A 21,127-nucleotide genomic window follows, 5' to 3' on the forward strand; every position below is an offset into this window, starting at 1 on the left:
ACTCTTTGCTCCTATCTTTAAGGACCACGAAAGAAGGAGCCCTTTGTCCTTGGCTAAATGTGAAAAATCCCAGAGACTCTTGAGTCATAGTGCTTACCCCTTGGGCCACTCATAGTCTAGAATGAACTAGGCTGAGTCTCGTGCCAACAGCACAGGCCTGATGCCAGATAAAAGGGTGAGTGAAGGGGGATAAAAAATAAGACATAGCTACTAAATTATTGCACCAAAGTAAAAACATTGAGTTGACTTGCAATTTGTTTCTTTTAATTAAATTCATTTCCTTTTTTTGGCATTTTGAAGGCAAAGTAAGATATTAAACTTTATTTTTATTGATTTTATTCAAAGAATTAAGCTAGTGGGAGTAGCAGATTCACACTTCTAAGATCAAGGGCCAGCTTCTATTATTGAACACTTGGTGTGTGCAAATGCCATGAGGTAGGGATACTTTGTTTTGTTTTTTATTTTTTATTGGGTTCGATCTCTTTTGTTTATGATGTATCCCCAAGTGCCTAGAATAGGGCCTGGCATATGGTATATACTCAATAAATATTTGTTGAATGAATCCATGATGGAATGTGAAATGGCTAGCATTACATAGAAACCTGTAGCATTGCTGGAGAGATAAAATATATAAACATAATCCATTGCAGGTATATTGACAAGTTCAAAATAATATAATGGGTATTGAATATCTAAATGTTTGTTGTTGTTGTTGCTGTTGTTTTTGAGACAGAGTCTTGCTCTGTTGCCCAGGCTGGAGTGTAATGGTGCAATTTTGGCTCACTGCAAACTTCGTCTCCTGGGTTCAAGTGATTCTCCTGCCTCAGCCTCTCGAGTAGCTGGGTTTACAGGCACTCGCCACAATGCCTGGCTAATTTTTGTATTTTAGTAGATGTGGAGTTTCGCCATGTTGGCCAGGCTGGTCTTGAACTCCTGACCTCAAGTGATCTGCCCACCTTGGCCTCCCAAAATGCTGGGATTATAGGTGTGAGCCACTATGCCCAGCTTTGAATATCTAAGTTTTAATTGGATGCTGAGGGAATGATTAATCAGAGTAGGGCTGGGTTAATTGAAAAATGTGATACATTTGTATTTATGGCCAGATAGAGAACATGAATCTGAATTTGCAGAATTATCTGGCTTAACATTTTTTTCTTTCCAGTTTTCACTGTATCCCCCATGTTGATTCAATTTAAAAAATATACCTATTTTACTTCAATTCAACAATGCTATGCCAGTACAAACCCATACGTTCTATTATTTTTGTTTTGTTTTGTTTTTGTATCTCCACCCTGTTACTTCTTTTCTTATAAAATTGGTATTTGAAATTTATTGAAATATTTTGGAAGAGTGACATACCATTTTTGGTACTTTGTACCTCTGCACCCTTGGGAAGTGACCCTGGCTTCACATTTCATAACTGCCTTGTGACCATGGCCCTCAAGTGGTTGCCAGATGGTTGAAGAACATTAACCTATCTGGCTCAATTTTGTGACCATGGATTGAATCCTCTACATAACTGCAGTGTGCAAACCACACATCCGTTCCAAGATTGTAGTCAGGATATGAACTTTTTAAGAATAAAACTTCTTCCCTTCTGATCTGGGCCTGGTATGTGGTCCTACTAGAACCACATCACCTACTCTTGGTGCTAACAATTTGTGGCACCAAGTTGTTCAAGTTTCACCCATTAAAGAAATTCCCCGACCTTGCCTTCTCCTCAGGTAACTACCCCATTCTATTTTTTCTTTCATAGCTAACATTCTCTGCTCTCCTGGTCTCTCTACTTCACTTTCATTTACATCTCAGCTCCTGAAGTATGGTTTCCACCATGTTCCTAAAACTACATTGCCCAGGGTCACTAGAGACCTCTTATGAAATATAACAACACCTTTCTACATTACTTCCGTGTGGACCACTTTTTCACATTGAACCCATTTTGTTGGTTTATGTACACACCCCTTCCTTGGCTTTCCCATCTGATCCATTTCTCCTTTGATGGAGAAGGTGAGTCTGCTCCATATTTAGCTTCTTACTCTGAGTAACCAAATGTTATGGATGGGAGGTTAGCTCTGTGTGTGAGAGAAAGGTGGAGAAGCATGTGGGGAGGGAAATAGATGGGAAAAGGTAATTAGGCTTTATAGAAGGGCTCTCATTAGCAAGCTTCTAGGGGATGCCAAGATCCATGCTTAGAGATTGCCAGGCTTGTCTTCAAATCTCAGCTGTGTATTACTCCTTTATGTTTTTTGTTTGTTTGTGTTGTTTGTTTTTGAGACAGAGTCTCGCTGTGTCACCCAGGCTGGAGTGTAGTGGTGTGATCTCAGCTCACTGCAAACTCTGCCTCCTGGGTTCAAGCGAATCTCAGTCTCCTGAGTAGCTGGGACTACAGGCATGCACCACCAGGCCTGGCTAATTTTTGTAGAGACGGGGTTTTGCTATGCTGGCCAGGCTGGTCTTGAACTCCTGACCTCAAGTGATCTGCCCGCCTTGGCCTCCCAAAGTGTTGGGATTAGTGGCGTGAGCCACTGCCCCGGCCTATTACTCCTTTAGAGTGATTTAGAGCCATGTTTACTTATGGTAACTTGACAGTAATGGGAATAACCACTGATGAAACGTAAAGCCTTTGTCTAATTGTTTACCTAGTTCTTCCTTGTGGTTCATGAAATTTTTCATCTCTGTACAGTTTGAAAATTAAGATGATAATATTTAGAGATATTTTATTCCTTTGTGAAGAGAAAAAAGGCTTTCATTAACAGAAATCAGTGGCAATAACTTAATAAATACAATCAGCTGGTGTTCCTATAGTATTTAAAAGAAAACAGAAAGTTTACTAGATTTCAGCCAGTTTTCAGACTATTTAATGTCTATTCTTACTATAATAGAAAATATATAATTTGATCTTGTTCTCATTTTTCAAAGACCTTTAATACATGATTTTAGTAGTTGAAAATGAAGTTTAATGATAGTTTATGCCTCTACTTTTAAAAACAAAGTCTAACAGATTTTTCTCATGTTAAATCACAGAAAAAGCCACCTGACATTTTAACTTGTTTTTGATTTGACAGTGAAATCTTATAAATCTGCCACAGTTCTAAACCAATAAAGATCAAGGTATAAGGGAAAAATGTAGAATGTTTGTGTGTTTATTTTTTCCACCTTGTTCTAAGCACAGCAATGAGCATTCGTAAAAGCCTTACTTTATTTGTCCACCCTTTTCATTGTTTTTTAGAAGCCCAACACTTTTCTTTAACACATACAATGTGGCCTTTTCATGAAATCAATTCCCTGCACAGTGATATATGGCAGAGCATTGAATTCTGCCAAATATCTGGCTGAGTGTTTGGTGTTGTATGGTCTCCATGAGATTTTGTCTCTATAATACTTGGGTTAATCTCCTTGGATATACTTGTGTGAATCAAACTATGTTAAGGGAAATAGGACAACTAAAATATTTGCACATGCAACTTATTGGTCCCACTTTTTATTCTTTTGCAGAGAATGGGATAGAGAGCTGGCTTCAAAGAAAAATCCTAAACTCATTAATGCCCTTCGGCGATGTTTTTTCTGGAGATTTATGTTCTATGGAATCTTTTTATATTTAGGGGTAAGGATCTCATTTGTACATTCATTATGTATCACATAACTATATTCATTTTTGTGATTATGAAAAGACTACGAAATCTGGTGAATAGGTGTAAAAATATAAAGGATGAATCCAACTCCAAACACTAAGAAACCACCTAAAACTCTAGTAAGGATAAGTAAAAATCCTTTGGAACTAAAATGTCCTGGAACACGGGTGGCAATTTACAATCTCAATGGGCTCAGCAAAATAAATTGCTTGCTTAAAAAATTATTTTCTGTTATGATTCCAAATCACATTATCTTACTAGTACATGAGATTACTGGTGCCTTTATTTTGCTGTATTCAACAGGAGAGTGTCAGGAGACAATGTCAGCAGAATTAGGTCAAATGCAGCTAATTACATATATGAATGTTTGTAATATTTTGAAATCATATCTGCATGGTGAATTGTTTCAAAGAAAAACACTAAAAATTTAAAGTATAGCAGCTTTAAATACTAAATAAATAATACTAAAAATTTAAAGTTCTCTTGCAATATATTTTCTTAATATCTTACATCTCATCAGTGTGAAAAGTTGCACACCTGAAAATCCAGGCTTTGTGGTGTTTAAGTGCCTTGTATGTTCCCCAGTTGCTGTCCAATGTGACTCTGATTTATTATTTTCTACATCATGAAAGCATTATTTGAATCCTTGGTTGTAACCTATAAAAGGAGACAGATTCAAGACTTGTTTAATCTTCTTGTTAAAGCTGTGCACAATATTTGCTTTGGGGCGTTTACTTATCATATGGATTGACTTGTGTTTATATTGGTCTTTATGCCTCAGGGAGTTAAACAGTGTCTCCCAGAGAAATGCCATTTGTGTTACATTGCTTGAAAAATTTCAGTTCATACACCCCCATGAAAAATACATTTAAAACTTATCTTAACAAAGATGAGTACACTTAGGCCCAGAATGTTCTCTAATGCTCTTGATAATTTCCTAGAAGAAATTTTTCTGACTTTTGAAATAATAGATCCATAATATATATTCTTATGGAAATCTGAAACCATTTGGGCATTTGGGGGTAAAAAGTATTTTATTAGTAAATTTAAATGAGGTAGCTGGATAATTAAATTACTTTTAAGTTACCTTTGAGATGATTTTTCTCAATCAGAGCACCACCCAGAGCTTTGAGAAACAATTTTATTCACAGCTTCTGATTCTATTTGATGTAATTTTTAGAAAATAAGTTTTGCTGGTTGCTTTGAATCAGGGTATGGAGTACAGTTCACTCTGATCCTATCATATAAATCATGTAAGTATATAACATTTTCAATAAGTGATTGTTGGATTGAAGTGAATGATATTTCAAGTAATTGTTATGTCATGGCCAAGATTTCAGTGAAACTCAAAATTTCTCCTGGTTGTGTTCTCCATTGCATGCTGCTTCTATTGATTAACCTAAGCACTACTGAGTAGAAGCTGGAAGAGGGGTCTAATTAGAAGGCCCCTTTCTATGCTCTGCTTGGCTTGTAAAATAATTTATTTCTCTAGATCCCACCAACATAGTAGTTTCATGTATGCAAAAACACCCACCTAAATGTCAAAGTTTGTATGATACATGGACATATCTATAGAATTTTTTTTGGTCTGGTGCATGCCAAAAAATAAACATGATATAGAAGAATTTAATATTTATTGAGTACCTAATCTGTTCCAGTTCAATATGAAGGTCTTTATGCAGATTATTTTACTTAATTTTCCTAGTAACTCCATGGAGCAAAAATTATCTCTAATTTATATAACAGGAAGTTGAGCGTGAGGCAAATTAAGTAACTTTCCCAAAGTTACACATATGGTAAGTTTGAGAGATATCCCAGTCTCTTTAGCTCCAAAGCCTTTGACCCTTTCACCATACCAGATTATGATTGCTATTAATATATAATTATAATTATAATGATTGTATTTAGGTACTCAACAGAATGGTGACTCTAGTAACCAGCCTTGGTTCTGCTGAGCTTCTCTGCGTCTTCTCAGGAGACACAGGCTACAGAGCTTGAAGGCTGAGGATTCTTCCAGGGTCACTTCAGGGGCAAATCTGAAACTTTCTTCAGGACAGGAATCAACGAGATCTTCTCACTTACTTATACCTGGGGGAGGAACTGTATGAAATCCACCCAAGAACCAGTCATGCTAAGGGCCAAACCTATAGACAAAAAAAGGGATAGGAGAATGGAGTATGTATGGAGAAAGACTAAATTGTTCTTAAACTTCTCAAGCTTAAAAATATCCCAGCAAAAGAGATCGTAAAAGCCCTTCATGGCGTATTAATTATCCATGCATGGGGGTGAGTGGAAAGGTACTCCTGAGCCCGAGGCTACAGCTTTGGAACTAGCAGCACCTTTGAAGGGGAAAGCGTGTTTCCATCATCTCAACTCCTACTGATAACCAATGGAATATTGGTGAGTAAAGGATCCTGGGGGAAGAAGCAGCTGAAATGTGTAGGTGAGAAGGCAGAGAGAAGAATATTTATATTGGGAATGGCACAAGTGTGATGAGGCTGCAGGTTTTTCACCCTTGTCATAGAGAAAAAACCACGCTGACACCATGCAGTTTTAAATAGTGAGAAATTTGCAAATTGTTAGATCTTAAATAATTTAGATAAACATAGTGGCCATTTAGATTATTGCAGTTTTTTCAGGATATCTGATCTCTTGATTTCATTCTTTTTGTCTCTTATAAGAATAAAAGGGGGGGAGAAAATTTAGCCATTATAGTATTTCTCTACATTTTCTCTGTCCTTTTACATAACTTACACCAGTGCCTTCCTATTTATGGTATTATTTATGGGTATTTCTTCTTTTCTTTCACTGAGCAAGGATAAATGAGCCAGGGATTCTTGAAACTACTGTAACACTTCTCTTAGAAATAGATGGTCATACTTTCAGAATCTCTACACATTCTTAGTCCCTCTAAACAATGATAGTTGTGGCATAAAAATATTTGCTTGGTTTCAGGACTGATAGAGAAAAGTACTATAAAATTTGCTGTTAACTGTGAAAGGTTAAAAAAAAGGAGGTGCCATCATGAAGGAGCTAATCTTTCTGAAGTACTGCTGTAGTTTTAAATATTATTAGCTATGACTTCTCACCATTAACTATGCACTTGCTTTTTCTTCATCTGACTCAGCAGCCAGATAGATGCAACATTGTCTTTAACATTTAAGACTCCTAGCAAGTCCGGGCACGGGGGCTCACACCTGTAATCCCAGCACTTTGGGAGGCCGAGGTGGGCAAATCACAAGGTCAGGAGTTTGAGACCAGCCTGGCCAATATGGTGAAACCCTGTCTCTACTAAAAGTACAAAAATCAGCCAGGTGTGGTGGCGTGGTGGCGGGCACCTGTGGTCCCAGCTACTTGGGAGGCTGAGGCAGGAGAATAGCTTGAACCTGGGAGGCAGAGGTTGCAGTGAGCTGAGATCGCACCACTGCACTCCAGCCTGGGTGACAGAGCGAGACTCCATCTCAAAAAAAAAAAAAAAAAAAAAGACTCCTAGCATGGAAGAGAAACTGGCTGTTGAAAACCTGAATGTGAGAGTCAGTCAAGGATAGTTTGAGGGAAGCCAAGTAGAGGAAGCTCTCACAAGCAGATTGGTGAGAGAATATGATTATACAATGCATTTATTATGATAAGAAATTCACAAGCATTCATTCAAAATACTCTTGATTCCTAGGCAGCTCTGGGCATATTTCCACCAACAAATTGAGGCATATGTCAGTGCAGCCTAGGTCAGACTACCTTTTTTCATTAAACCTCACAAAATTAAAGGACATACAGGAGAAGTCCTGGTACTCATGTTGCAGACTACAGTCTATATGGCAAAGGAGGATCTCTGTCCCTTATGTTTGGATGAAAACATTGGGTAGGCATTTGAATACAAGCCTACTGCTAATATGGGGCTAAGGTCTTTGGCCCCCTAAAGGTTTGCTGAAATATTACTGACAGGAGGCAGATTGATAAGAGGAAAAGCACATAAATGTATTTGACATGTATACATGGGAGCCTTCAGGATGAAGACCTACCCTCTCAGTGCAGTATGGAAGCTTGTATACCATCTTGAGGTTACAGAAAGAATGGGGGTTTGGATCTTTGTAAAACAGGTTTCAGTGGCAAGACAGGTTATGAGAAGGAGAAAGGAAGAGACTTGGGTAGCAAAGGGGGTCTTGTTTTGTAGGTAAATCGTTGGCAGCCCACAGAGAAAATAGATGGAGAATGTTTCTTTTCAGACCTTGGCAGGTGTCAGATTCTCAGTTAATCTCTCCTAGATTTGAAAAAAAAAAAAAAGGTCTAGAAAGGGAGAGCCTGGCTGCACTAACACATTTTCTACAGATGCAAATTTCTCCCACAAAATACAGCTTTGCAGGTCCACTTCTATCTGCTGGGCCTGTGGCAACCATTTCAAAATATGTGAATGAAATATATGTGGGGGTAAACTATTTTTATTTACTTCCCTAAAGAAGGGATGGTGTTCTCTCGGGAATTCTGTGCATAGAGAGCCTGTGGCTTAGGCACTTTGATTTATGTATATCTCTTCCTGTGATTGGCTATCTAGGGACTGCTATCTCCAGCAAATCTTCTAAATGTCTGCCATGTAGAATTCCTTTCTCATCTTTCTGTCTCACCCCCTTATCTAGCTGCTTCTCTAACCCTAGAGTGACACTGCACTCCCCACAATCTCCTATGTCCTGAATATTTTACCCCATCCTAAACTCCATCTCTAACACAGATGCACTTTCTTGTGCTGCCTACTGCATTGTACATCTTCCCCTTAGTTCCCATGATGCAACTCTGCCCTACCCCAGAAAATGTAATTTAATTGGTCTGGGATAAAACCTGGGACACTATCATTCTTGAAATATTCCCCAAGCGATTCTAATTATATAGCCAAAGTTGAGAACTATTTGTAGACAGGCATCAGCATGATCACTTAATGATTTGACTTTTGCTAGATCTAAGGTGAGGAAATTGGAGAGTGGTATCCATAGGAAGAACTGTTTAGTTTAATTTTTTTTTTATTTTTTCTTCTAAAAAAAAATCCAACAACGAGATACATGTGCGGAACATGCAGGTTTGTTACATAGGTATAATGTGCCATGGTAGTTTGTTGCACCTATTGACCCATCCTCTAAGTTCCCTCCCCTACTCCTTACTTCCCAACAGGCCCTGGTGTATGTTGTTCCCCTCTCTGGGTCCACCTGTTCTCAATGTTCAACTCCCTTTTACGAGTGAGAACACATGGTGTTTGATTTTCTGTTCCTGTGTTAATTTGCTGAGGATGATAGTTTCCAGCTTCATCCACGTCCCTGCAAAGGACATGATCTCATTCCTTTTTATGGCTGCATAGTATTCCATGATGTATATGTACCACATTTTCTTTATCCAGTCTGTCATTGATGGGCATTTGGGTTGGTTCCATGTCTTTGCTATTGTAAATAGTTCTGCAGTAAACATATATGTCCATGTGTCTTTATAGTAGAATGATTTATATTACTTTGGGTATATACCCAGTAATGAGATTGCTGGGTCAAATGGCATTTCTGGTTCTAGATACTTGAGGAATCGCCACACTGTCTTCCACAATGGTTGAACTAATTTACACTCCCACTAACAGTGTAAAAGCGTTCCTATTTCTCCACAGCCTCACCAGCATCTATTGTTTCCTAACATTTTAATAACTGCTATTCTGACTGGCATGAGATGGTATCTCATTGTGGTTTTGATTTGCATTTATCTGATGATCAGTGATGCTGAGATTTTTAAAATATGTTTGTTGGCCATGTAAATGTCTTTTGTGAAGTGTCTGTTCATATCCTTTGCCCACCTTAATAGGGTTTTTTTTTTCTTGTGAATTTGTTTAAGTGCCTTGTAAATTCTGGAAATTAGATCTTTGTCAGATGGATAGATTGCAAAAATTTTCTCCCATTTTGTAGGTTGCCTGTTCACTCTGATGATAGGTTCTTTTGCTGTGCAGAAGCTCTTTAGTTTAATTAGATCCAATTTGTCAATTTTGGCTTTTTTTGCAATTGCTTTTGGCATTTTCCTCGTGAAGTCTTTGCCCGTGCCTATGTCCTGAATGGTATTGCGTAGGTTTTCTTCTAGGGTTTTTATAGTTTTGGGTTTTACATTTAAGTCTTTAATACATCTTGAGTTAATTTTTGTATAAGGTATAAGGAAGGGGTCCAGTTTCAGTTTTATGCATAATGGCTAGGCAGTTTTCCCACCACCATTTACTGAATAGGAGATCTTTTCCTCATTGCTTGTTTTTGTCAGATTTGTCGAAGATCAGATGGTTGTAGATGTGTGGTGTTATTTCTGAGGTCTCTGTTCTGCACCATTGGTCTATATGTCTGTTATCGTACCAGTCCCATGCTGTTTTGGTTACCGTAGCCTTGTAGTATATTTTGAAGTCTGGTAGCGTGATGCCTCCAGCTTTGTTCTTTTTGCTTAGGATTGTCTTGGCTATATGGAGTCTTCTTTGATTCCATATGAAATTTAAAATAATTTTTTTTTATTCTGTGAAGAATGTCAATGGTAGTTTGATGGGAATAGCATTGAAATTATAAATTACTTTGGGCAGTATAGCCATGTTCACAATATTGATTCTTTCTATCCGTAAGGACGACACTTTTTCCATTTGTTTGTGTTCTCTCTTATTTCCTTGAGCAGTGGTTTGTAGTTCTCCTTAAAGAGGTCTTTCACATCCTTTGTTAGCTGTGTTCCTAGGTATTTTGTTCTCTTTGTAGTGATTGTGAATGGGAATTCATTCTTGATTTGCCTCTCTGCTGCCTGTTGTTGGTGTAAACAAAATTCATTTCTTGTTCTTATTTGTGAAATTTTGGAACCAAATCTATTTTCAAATTAGAAATTGCTTGTGATAATGGTTTTGCAACTTAGACTGGATATGAGACGATGAGATATTAGTTCTTTCATTCCTTTGTAGGAATATGGTGCATCTTGCATTATTTTAGCTAACTAGTGTCCTTTAATGACTAATGAATATGACATGGTGAAACAAAGTAAAATATATATGATGCACTAAGTATGCATTGTTTCCAAAGGTTCAGCATTTTTTTTTTGTTAACTCTGCTGGGATCTGCTTTATGCACTGATAACATAACTTATTTTATGATCTTAAGCAAATAAAAACACTTATCTGGACCTCAGTTTCCTTAACTGTACAACTGAGGGAAACTGTATAGTATAGCTATAGTACAGTATACCATCTTTACCGTCACTTCCATCTTTTAAATTATGTGTATATAAGATAGGGCCTAGATAAATGGTATTTATCTTAAATTACAGTGATACTAGCTTATAACTTAATTTGCTAGGTCATGTTGAACTGATAACAATGTGTGAACTGATGAGCAACTGAGAAGTAACCAGGTTGTGTTATAACAGTTTGTTTTTGATTTAGGGTTATCAGTGAGGGTGGCGGTGGGGAGGGGACTTTGGAGTCTAACTGTCTAGTTCAAATATTAGTTTTTGTTTATTTTTATTTTTAATTTTTGTGGGTACATAGTAGATGTATATATTTATGGGGTACATGTGATGTTTTCATATAGGCATGCAATGTGAAATAAGCACATCATAGAGAATGGGGTATCCATCCCCTCAAACACTTATCTTTTGAGTTACCAACAATCCAATGACACTCTTTAAGTTATCAAATCACAGTTTTGCCAGCTACTAGCCATGTGATTTTGGGTAGGTTACTTAAATTCTCTTCATCTCAATTTCATTATTGTAAAGTGGAGATAATGATAGCACATTTTTTCTTTTTCTTTTTTCTTTTATTTTTTATTATTATACTTTAAGTTGTGTGATACATGTGCAGAATGTGCAGGTTTGTTACATAGGTATCAACAACTCTATAAAACATGTTCTATCCAGGAAAAGAAACTATCATCAGAGTGAACAGGCAACTTACGGAATGGGAGAAAATGTTTGCAATCTAGATGGCGATTGCAATGGCGGTTCGCTGCATCCATCAGCCCATCATCTACATTAGGTATTTCTCCTAATGCTATCCCTCCCCTTGCTCCCCACCCCCTCACAGGCCCCTGTGTGTGATGTTCCCCTCCCTGTGTCCATGTGTTCTCATTGTTCAACTCCCACTTATGAGTGAGAACATGTGGTGTTTGGTTTTCTGTTCTTGTGTTAGTTTGCTGAGAATGATGGTTTCCAGCTTCATCCATGTTCCTGCAAGGACATGAACTCATCCTTTTTTATGGCTGTATAGTATTCCATGGTATATATGTGCCACATTTTCTTTATCCAGTCTATCATTGGTGGACATTTGGGTTGGTTCCAAGTCTTTGCTATTGTGAACGCTGCAGCAATGAACATACATAAGCATATGTCTTTCTAGTCAAATAAGTTATAATCCTTTGGGTATGTACCCAGTAATGGGATTGCTGGGTCAAATGGTATTTCTGGTTCTAGATTCTTGAGGAATCGCCACACTGTCTTCCACAATGGTTGAATTAATTTACACTCCCACCAACAGTGTAGAAGCATTCCTATTTCTCCACATCCGCTCCAGCATCTGTTGTTTCCTGACTTTTTAATGATCACCATTCTAACTGGTGTGAGATGGTATCTCATTGTGGTTTTGATTTGCATTTCTCTAATGACTAGTGATGATGAGCTTCTTTTCATGTTTGTTGGCTGCATAAATGTCTTCTTTTGAGAAGTGTCTGTTCATATCCTTTCCCCACTTTTTGATGGGGTTGTTTTTTTCCTGTAAATTTGTTTAAGTTCCTTGTAGATTTTGGATATTAGCCCTTTGTCAGGTGGATAGATTGCAAACATTTTCTCCCATTCTGTAAGTTGCCTGTTCACTCTGATGATAGTTTCTTTTGCTGGATAGAACATGTTTTATAGAGTTGTTGTGAGAATTAAATGCATTAAGCACATAGAATAGATTCTGGTACATAGCAAGTGCTCTCTCTATATATGGAACTCTATATGTAGTTGGTGCAAAAGTAATTGTGGTTTTCACCATTGAAAGTAATGGCAAAGACCATCATTACCTTTTCACCAATTTAAATATATGGAAGGAATATATATATAAAACCTATATATATATGTCACATATATGTCTCTAACCCATTATTATAATATATAATACAATATATATTATAATTATAATTGTATATAACATATGTTATATAATAATATAGTAATATTTATTCTAAATAAATATATAATACTATAAATAATATAATAATTTATATATATGATTATAATATATAATAGGCTATATTATATATTATTAACATATACATATGTGTATATATATGTCTTTCATAGACTTAAATATATAGAGCAATAATAGGTTAGAAAATAGCAAACATGTATATATAAACATATATACATATAGAAAACATATATAAAAACATATATATATATATATATATGTGTGTTTTCTGCCTTTCATTTTTAGAGACAGGGTCTCATCATGTTGCCCAGGCTGGTCTCAAACTCCTGGGCTCAAGTGATCCTACTGCTTTGGACTCCCGAAGTGCTGGGATTTCAGACATGAGACACTGCACCCAGTCCAGTCCCTGTCTTTTTAAATAGACTCTCTACCTAAGTGCACAAATACTCATTATTTACATTTAGTTATTTCTGTATATATGCTATAAGCAAATCTTGTAGCACCAGTTTGATTTTTATAAGGCACAAGAATATATTTTACTAATGCTTTAAAATGGCAGCTAGATTCTAGTATTACTTTAGAAATTAAAATTAATATTTTAACACATCTTTCATTATTGTGTTATCTGAACCAAACCTATTATTGCTGCTATTTCAGCAAATCCAGGGGCTTTTTCTTATAAAATATGAAGAATATAGCTTAGATTTCTAGTGAAGATGTTACCAGTAATAATTAATAAAATCAGTAAGCACTAAAAGGAAAATACCAAAACTAAAGCATTTTGAATTAGTCATTGAATCTAAAAGAAAGGTAGATTTTTTTCTGAGATTCTGTTCTAGGTGTGGTATATGTGTATTTTTGCAAAAACTATAAACAATTGTGGCAAAATGAAGGAAATATTTAAAAACAAACCTCTTAATTCTTCAGTGGATTAAGCGTGAATATGTTTTTATTTTCTATGATGAATATGGAAAAATTCATTTCCTTAGCAATTTGTATGAGCCCAAAAACTATTGTCAGACTCTGCTGTATCAAAATAGACAAAAAATTGACACTCACTTTTACCCTGCCAAAAGCAAAATCTTAAACTTTTGCTTTAGTATATAAGCCAGCATTCATTGTATCCTATGATGGGTTCTGAGTGTAGGTGTATTTGCTTTCTTCCATTTTTTGTATGCATGTTTTCTTTTTATTTATTATTGTAAGTTGTATGAAATTTTTATCCAAATTTTTATTTTCTTCTGATTAATAATCAGAATAATCAGATAATTACTGGTAAATTTGATGTTAATCCTTCCAGCTTTTTCCCATGGGAATTTATACTTAATAAAGGGGAGAAGTCATCATTACATAATGTGCATATTAATCTGCTTCTCCCTTTAATGTGTTGTGAATGCCTTTCCATGTCATTAGATGTTTTTCTACCTAGTTACTTTCATGAATCATATGGCTGTACCATGATTTATTTAATCAGTTCCTCATCATTGAGTATGTAAATTGCCTCCATTTTTTTATTACTATAAAAGGTCCTTCAGTACACACCCCTTTAAAAGCTGACTCTTAGAAGGTGTTCTTGACTCTCTACCTAAGTGTAAAAATACAAATAAATTGCTTTCCAGAAAAGGTGCACTACTATTTTACTTTCCTGATACTAAACTATGAAAATTCAGTCCTAACAATAGATATTTAAATAAAGTTTTAAAAATGCCAAGTGAAAAAGAGCATATTATTATTTTCATTTGCATTACTTTTGGTTCCTGGTGAGTTTAATCTGTTTTTGTATATTAATTATGCATTTATATTTCTTTTTGTGTGTGTGAATTGCCTTTCATGTTCTTTGTGTGTTTTTATTTTGTTGTATTTGTCTCTTTCTTGATATATGAGAGAATATTTTCCCTAGCCTGTCAATTGCCTTGTAATTTTGTTTCTAGTGAGTTTTTTTTTTTTTTTTTACAATTAAAAGCTTTAATTTTTGAAAATTTTGCTGGCAAATCTATATATCTTTTTCTTTGTTTTCTGCTTTGACATTATTCTTTTATAAAGGCCCATGCCACCCAAATATTATGTAAGCATGCATCTATGTTTTTATTACTTCATCTTTTACATTTAAATATCTACTCTATTTAGAATTCATTGTGATGCATGTATGAGGTAGAAATCTAATTTCAAAAAGATGAGTATCCAGTTTGTCCATCATTTATTGCATGATCTCTTTCTCCACTGAATTAAAATGCCGTATTTTATAATATATTAAAGTATTACATGTGCTTGGACATGTTCCTGGACTTTTGAGATAAATCAGTCTATTTCTTTGTCATGTCACATATTATTATGGCTTTATGATTTAATATCCAGTAATGTAAACCCTCTGACACATTATTCTTATTCCTCAAATGTTTTTGATGAGTTTTCTTCCAAATGAAATTTATAATCATTTTATTCATTGATTCAACAAATATTTGTTGAATGGATATTCTGTGCTTGGTATTGTGCATGGTATTAGGATTGTTGCAAAAATTGAGACTGACAGTCCCTACTCTTACGGTGCTAAAAATTCACTTCCAAAAAAATCTTTAAATGTTGATGAAGATTGCACTAATCTTATAAAATAACTTGGAGGGGAATGTAATCTTTGCAACATTAAGTTCTTCATTTTAGAAAGTTTTAAGACTCTCCATTTATTTGAGACTTTTAAAATATGTCCCAATAATGTTTTGTGAGATGTATATTTTAAGATATATATCTTATTGCTATTACATTGTATCTTTTGTTATATTGTTACTATGAATGGGATACTCATTTAATTAGATGTCATTTTTGGTATATAGAAATCTATTTTCTTAGCATAGTCATTTTTTAAACCTCGATCTATTAAATTCTTGATTCATTTACATTTGTTACACAATCATATTCTATGCTGATAATACTTCTTGCTTCTTTCCAATATTTGTACCTCGATCATTTTTCTTGTTGAGTTGTATTAGCTAGAAGTTCTAGAAAAATGTTAAATGGTAGTAATAGCTAGTATTCTGTTTTTTCCTGACTCTAAATGTAATGCATCTAGACTTTTATAATTATGGCATTGATTGTAACATTTTGAGGAAGAAATCCTTTTTCAGGTTAATAATGTATCTTTATATTCAAGTTTATTAAGAACATTTATTGGAAACATATTGAAATTTTATCAGATTCCTTTTCAGTTGTTACTGAGATAATCATAGGTTCTTCTGTATTCTTTTAATTAATTTCTCAAAATTAAACTGTCCTATTATTCTTGGAATAACGACATATAAAGTACTGTATATTTAAAAGAAGTTAAAATGATAATGGTGATTTTATTAAGTGACCTCACACAATAGAAAACAGTGTAGCCTTAGAAGTTTTCCAAGTGACCATTCTACTTAGAAACAACCCTGCTTTGGGATCAGAACTGTAATTTTTAAAGTAAAGTTTTCTGGGTTTAATTCATTTAGTGTAATTACAAGCATGAGTTCAGGTTTCTATTTTTTTCACCTGAACTTTCCTTCATGGTTTGAATATCTAGAAAAAGCAGACTTTCCTATCTCTAGACTAAACATTTGATCCTATCTTAGGTATGCATTACAATTTTTTAACCATAAATGGTTAAAGAATTTAGACTCATCTACAATAACTTTGAAGCTCTGGTCTTGAAGAACATGTGAGAAATGAGATATAACTCCTAGAAGATATAGGAGACATTTTTAGTCTTCCAAATTTTCCCTGGGAGGCTGATCTAAATTGAGTCACAAAATTGTTCCCACCAGGAATGCAATCACTTGAGCTGTTTTCTAATCTGAGCCCCTCTACCCAGATGATCTTCTGAACTCATACTGTTCAGACTTTCATCCTTCTGAGTAGAAAACAGCCATAGTCATGGCAGGATGAGGGCTAGGACAATTACCCAAGGAATTCTTGGCCTCTGCCATGGGACTCTGCAGACTCAGATCATATAATCAGAGATGTTAGCACTGGAGGGGACATCACAATTAGCTTTCTCCACCTCTTAGTTTATCAGTGAGGAAAACTGTCCAGAGCGCGGAAGAGACTAAAATAACACAGCCAATGTAGGTAATGTGCTGGATAAGAATTTGGAATTCACGATTTTGAATTCAGTGTTTATTTCACCATCACGCTGGCTTACACGTTGGTATCAGGCTTCTTCTATTATTGAAGTGAGCCATTAAGTGAATTCCATCTTGATTTGTGTCTGATACAGAGTAATAAACTATTTTATTAAATATCCAAATAATTATACATTCCTCCTTCTTACATGCAAGCCTAAGTTTGCTTGTACTATTTCATGTGGTAGCAAATCAGGACGCTTCTTGTGTCTCTGAAAATACTCTGAGTAATGGAGTACAGTCAGCTTTCTTGTACCAAGAATATAGGGACTATGTTTCTCCCAGTCATTCTGGGGATAATTTTTGTGAAGGATTGCACTTCATAGGTTAAGCTAGGTATCAGTTACCAGTGTTTTTTCCAAATAAAAAAAAAATCAGGTGATATCTGTAAATGGTTCCATTGTAAATATTAAAGAACATGATGCTTAAAACAGATTAGGGAAAACTATAGAAGGGGTGGGGTTTCGGAGTGCTAATTTTGTCCTTGAATGGTAACAGCTCCATGTGGTGGTGAGGTTTATGTTGGTTTGCTGTTTGCAGATGATCTTATTATTAGAATTTTTCATACCGAAAATAAACTGCATTTTAGTTTGTAAACATGCCCTTCCAGAGTAATGCTACCAGTTCTTTGTGAAATAGCTACTGTTGTTCAAAGGATGACTATGTCCTCTTCGGTTGAGGAAAGATGACAACAAACTCAGTAATGACATGTAAAATAGGTATTACAAACCAGGTATGGTGGCATGAGCCTGTAATCCCAGCTACTTGAGAGGCTAAAGCAGGAGGATCTGTTGATCTATGGATTTGAGGCTGTAGTGTGTTGTGATGGCACCTATGAATAGCCCTTGCACTCCAGCCCAAGCAACAAAGCAAGACTGTCTCTGAATTTTTGTTTTGTTTTGTTTTTTGTTTTTTTTTTTTTGAGACAGAGTCTTGCTCTGTCACCCAGGCTGAAGTGCAGTGGCGCGATCTCCACTCACTGCAAGCTCCGCCTCCTGGGTTCACGCCATTCTCCTGCCTCAGCCTCCCGAGTAGCTAGGACTACAGGCGCCCGCCTCCACGCCCAGCTAAATTTTTTGTATTTTTAGTAGAGACGAGGTTTCACTGTGTTAGCCAGGACGGTCTTGATCTCCTGACCTTGTGATCCTCCTGCCTCGGCCTCCCAAAGTGCTGGGATTACAGGCGTGAGCCACCGCGCCCGGCCCCTGTCTCTGAATTTTTTAAAAAGGCATTCCACTCAAATTAATACACATTTTAATTGTGTTTTGTTGTAAATTACAACTGAATAAAAATTCAGCAAATAAGTCTGTTGTGGTAGGGAAAAGTCTATTGTGATCTGGAAAATATAATGGAGAAATCCAGTGGAAGAGATTTTATTTCACATTACTCAAAATAAAAAAATCTTATACAAGTCTTTACACTTGTAACTTGAAAAATTCTGTGCTAAAATTTAGCTTGGTTGCTAAAATATTTCTCTTTTTTTCTCAGAAGCTTCTTTTTAGCATCCTATAGACACAAGTTACTTTTTAAAATATTTGCATACTTGCTTTGCAATGTATTGTTTATCAGTAGTTCTATATTCTTTGAGATAGTCTATCCAGTCTTTCTGTATTTATCGTATGTCTGTATAGATATATATTAGCAGATAAATGAGTTCTGAAAGGGGAGAAATGTGATTATGCTAATCATGATATAAAGAATTGACTTTATAAGCAGTGTTCACAGGTCATACCTTTCCCGTTACTGTCTTACAGTGAACAAGAAATGATGCTTTGTCTGGTATGCATGGTAAATAATGCCCCTTGCTCTCTGCTTCATGATCACATGTGATACTTCTAACATAGATAGCACATGTAAATCCAGTGGCCTTGACTGCAACTCAAGAGAGCATTTTGGCCAAGTACAAACCCACTAGTCATGAAAAAAAAAAAAAAACCAAATCAAAGTAAATTGATGGTATTGACATTTGTCTATGAAAAACAACATAATATAGAACAATTCTGGGGTAAAATATTGATCTAAAATAATTTTAAGGATTAAATATTGCCATTGTAAGCATACTATGAGCAATTATGTTTGTAATGCAGATATATTTATAATTTTAAATCCAAGATTTACCTTAATTGTACATTTTCCTAATTTAAAAAAGTTATTTTGAAAAAAAAATCCTCGAATCTAGAGAAAGGTTGGCAAATACATATGGAACTTTGTAAAAAACATCCAGGGCAGCACTTTCACTGATTGCAGTAGCTTAGGAGTGAAAAACAACACAACTGCTCCAATGTATGGCAATGGGCAAATATCCCGATTTATTCACAGGGTGGCATGTTAGGCAGTGCTTAGAATAAATGAGTTGGTTATACAAGTATCAATAGGGATAAATGTGAAAAACACAGTGTTAAGTTTTTAAAAAGTTGTAAAAAGCACAGTAGGATGTTATTTATATAAAATTTAAAAACCTCAAAAACCATTCTTCTTTGATATATATTCTAAAGATGAACATATATGTAATAGAAGTACAAAACATACATAAAATAATATACACTATGCAGTCATTTGTGTACTTACTTTTCAAAAATATTTCAGTAGATATAGCAAACAGTTAACATGTAATATTTGGATAGGAGGTTGGCAATTTTCTTTTTAGCACCTGCCTGTCTGCTATCATTCAAACTCACATTTAAAATGTGGCTATGTGAGATGAGAGAACTATAATATTCCAGGTTTGTGATTAGTTTGGAAACTTTTTAAAAGTTTGAATGTGGTCTGAGAGATAGTTTGTTATAATTTCTGTTCTTTTACATTTGCTGAGGAGAGCTTTACTTCCAACTATGTGGTCAATTTTGGAATAGGTGTGGTGTGGTGCTGAAAAAAATGTATATTCTGTTGATTTGGGGTGGAGAGTTCTGTAGATGTCTATTAGGTCTGCTTGGTGCAGAGCTGAGTTCAATTCCTGGGTATCCTTGTTGACTTTCTGTCTCGTTGATCTGTCTAATGTTGACAGTGGGGTGTTAAAGTCTCCCATTATTAATGTGTGGGAGTCTAAGTCTCTTTGTAGGTCACTCAGGACTTGCTTTATGAATCTGGGTGCTCCTGTATTGGGTGCATAAATATTTAGGATAGTTAGCTCCTCTTGTTGAATTGATCCCTTTACCATTATGTAATGGCCTTCTTTGTCTCTTTTGATCTTTGTTGGTTTAAAGTCTGTTTTATCAGAGACTAGGATTGCAACCCCTGCCTTTTTTTGTTTTCCATTGGCTTGGTAGATCTTCCTCCATCCTTTTATTTTGAGCCTATGTGTGTCTCTGCACGTGAGATGGGTTTCCTGAATACAGCACACTGATGGGTCTTGACTCTTTATCCAATTTGCCAGTCTGTGTCTTTTAATTGGAGCATTTAGTCCATTTATATTTAAAGTTAATATTGTTATGTGTGAATTTGATCCTGTCATTATGATGTTAGCTGGTGATTTTGCTCATTAGTTGATGCAGTTTCTTCCTAGTCTCGATGGTCTTTACATTTTGGCATGATTTTGCAGTGGCTGGTACTGGTTGTTCCTTTCCAGGTTTAGCGCTTCCTTCAGGAGCTCTTTTAGGGCAGGCCTGGTGGTGACAAAATCTCTCAGCATTTGCTTGTCTATAAAGTATTTTATTTCTCCTTCACTTATGAAGCTTAGTTTGGCTGGATATCTCTCAGACCACAGTGCAATCAAACTAGAACTCAGGATTAAGAATCTCACTCAAAGCCGCTCAACTACATGGAAACTGAACAACCTGCTCCTGAATGACTACTGGGTACATAACGAAATGAAGACAGAAATAAAGATGTTCTTTGAAACCAACGAGAACAAAGACACCACATACCAGAATCTCTGGGATGCATTCAAAGCAGTGTGTAGAGGGAAATTTATAGCACTAAATGCCTACAAGAGAAAGCAGGAAAGATCCAAAATTGACACCCTAACATCACAATTAAAAGAACTAGAAAAGCAAGAGCAAACACATTCAAAAGCTAGCAGAAGGCAAGAAATAACTAAAATCAGAGCAGAACTGAAGGAAATAGAGACACAAAAAACCCTTCAAAAAATCAATGAATCCAGGAGCTGGTTTTTTGAAAGGATCAACAAAATTGATAGACCGCTAGCAAGACTAATAAAGAAAAAAAGAGAGAAGAATCAAATAGACACAATAAAA

General features: G+C 35.6%; 1 protein-coding gene across 1 annotated transcript in view, besides 3 other annotated features; it reads left to right on the forward strand.

The window, feature by feature from the left end:
• The window catches only part of CFTR (CF transmembrane conductance regulator), a 188,641-nt gene that overhangs the window by 25,514 nt on the left and 142,000 nt on the right, over positions 1-21,127 (forward strand). The window contains exon 3 of the mRNA NM_000492.4: positions 3,496-3,604. Within this exon, the coding sequence (NP_000483.3) occupies positions 3,496-3,604 (109 nt within the window). The remainder of the gene's footprint in view (positions 1-3,495; positions 3,605-21,127) is intronic.
• Positions 2,925-3,525: a DNaseI hypersensitive site, noted in NCBI's record as "DHS2 or 296 + 4.4 kb DHS observed in Caco2 and MCF7 cells; the nucleotide coordinates are approximate for this feature". NCBI's record gives the evidence for it as "EXISTENCE:in vivo cleavage assay evidence [ECO:0001075][PMID:10708521, PMID:11856314]".
• Positions 4,005-4,605: a DNaseI hypersensitive site, noted in NCBI's record as "DHS3 or 405 + 0.7 kb DHS observed in Caco2 and MCF7 cells; the nucleotide coordinates are approximate for this feature". NCBI's record gives the evidence for it as "EXISTENCE:in vivo cleavage assay evidence [ECO:0001075][PMID:10708521, PMID:11856314]".
• Positions 4,275-4,313: a protein binding site, noted in NCBI's record as "CArG box 8 oligonucleotide or 405 + 1 kb SRF-binding site". NCBI's record gives the evidence for it as "EXISTENCE:protein binding evidence [ECO:0000024][PMID:16170155]".

The sequence above is a fragment of the Homo sapiens genome, chromosome 7 (genome assembly GCF_000001405.40).
Source record: "Homo sapiens chromosome 7, GRCh38.p14 Primary Assembly".
Taxonomy (NCBI): Eukaryota; Metazoa; Chordata; class Mammalia; order Primates; family Hominidae; genus Homo; species Homo sapiens.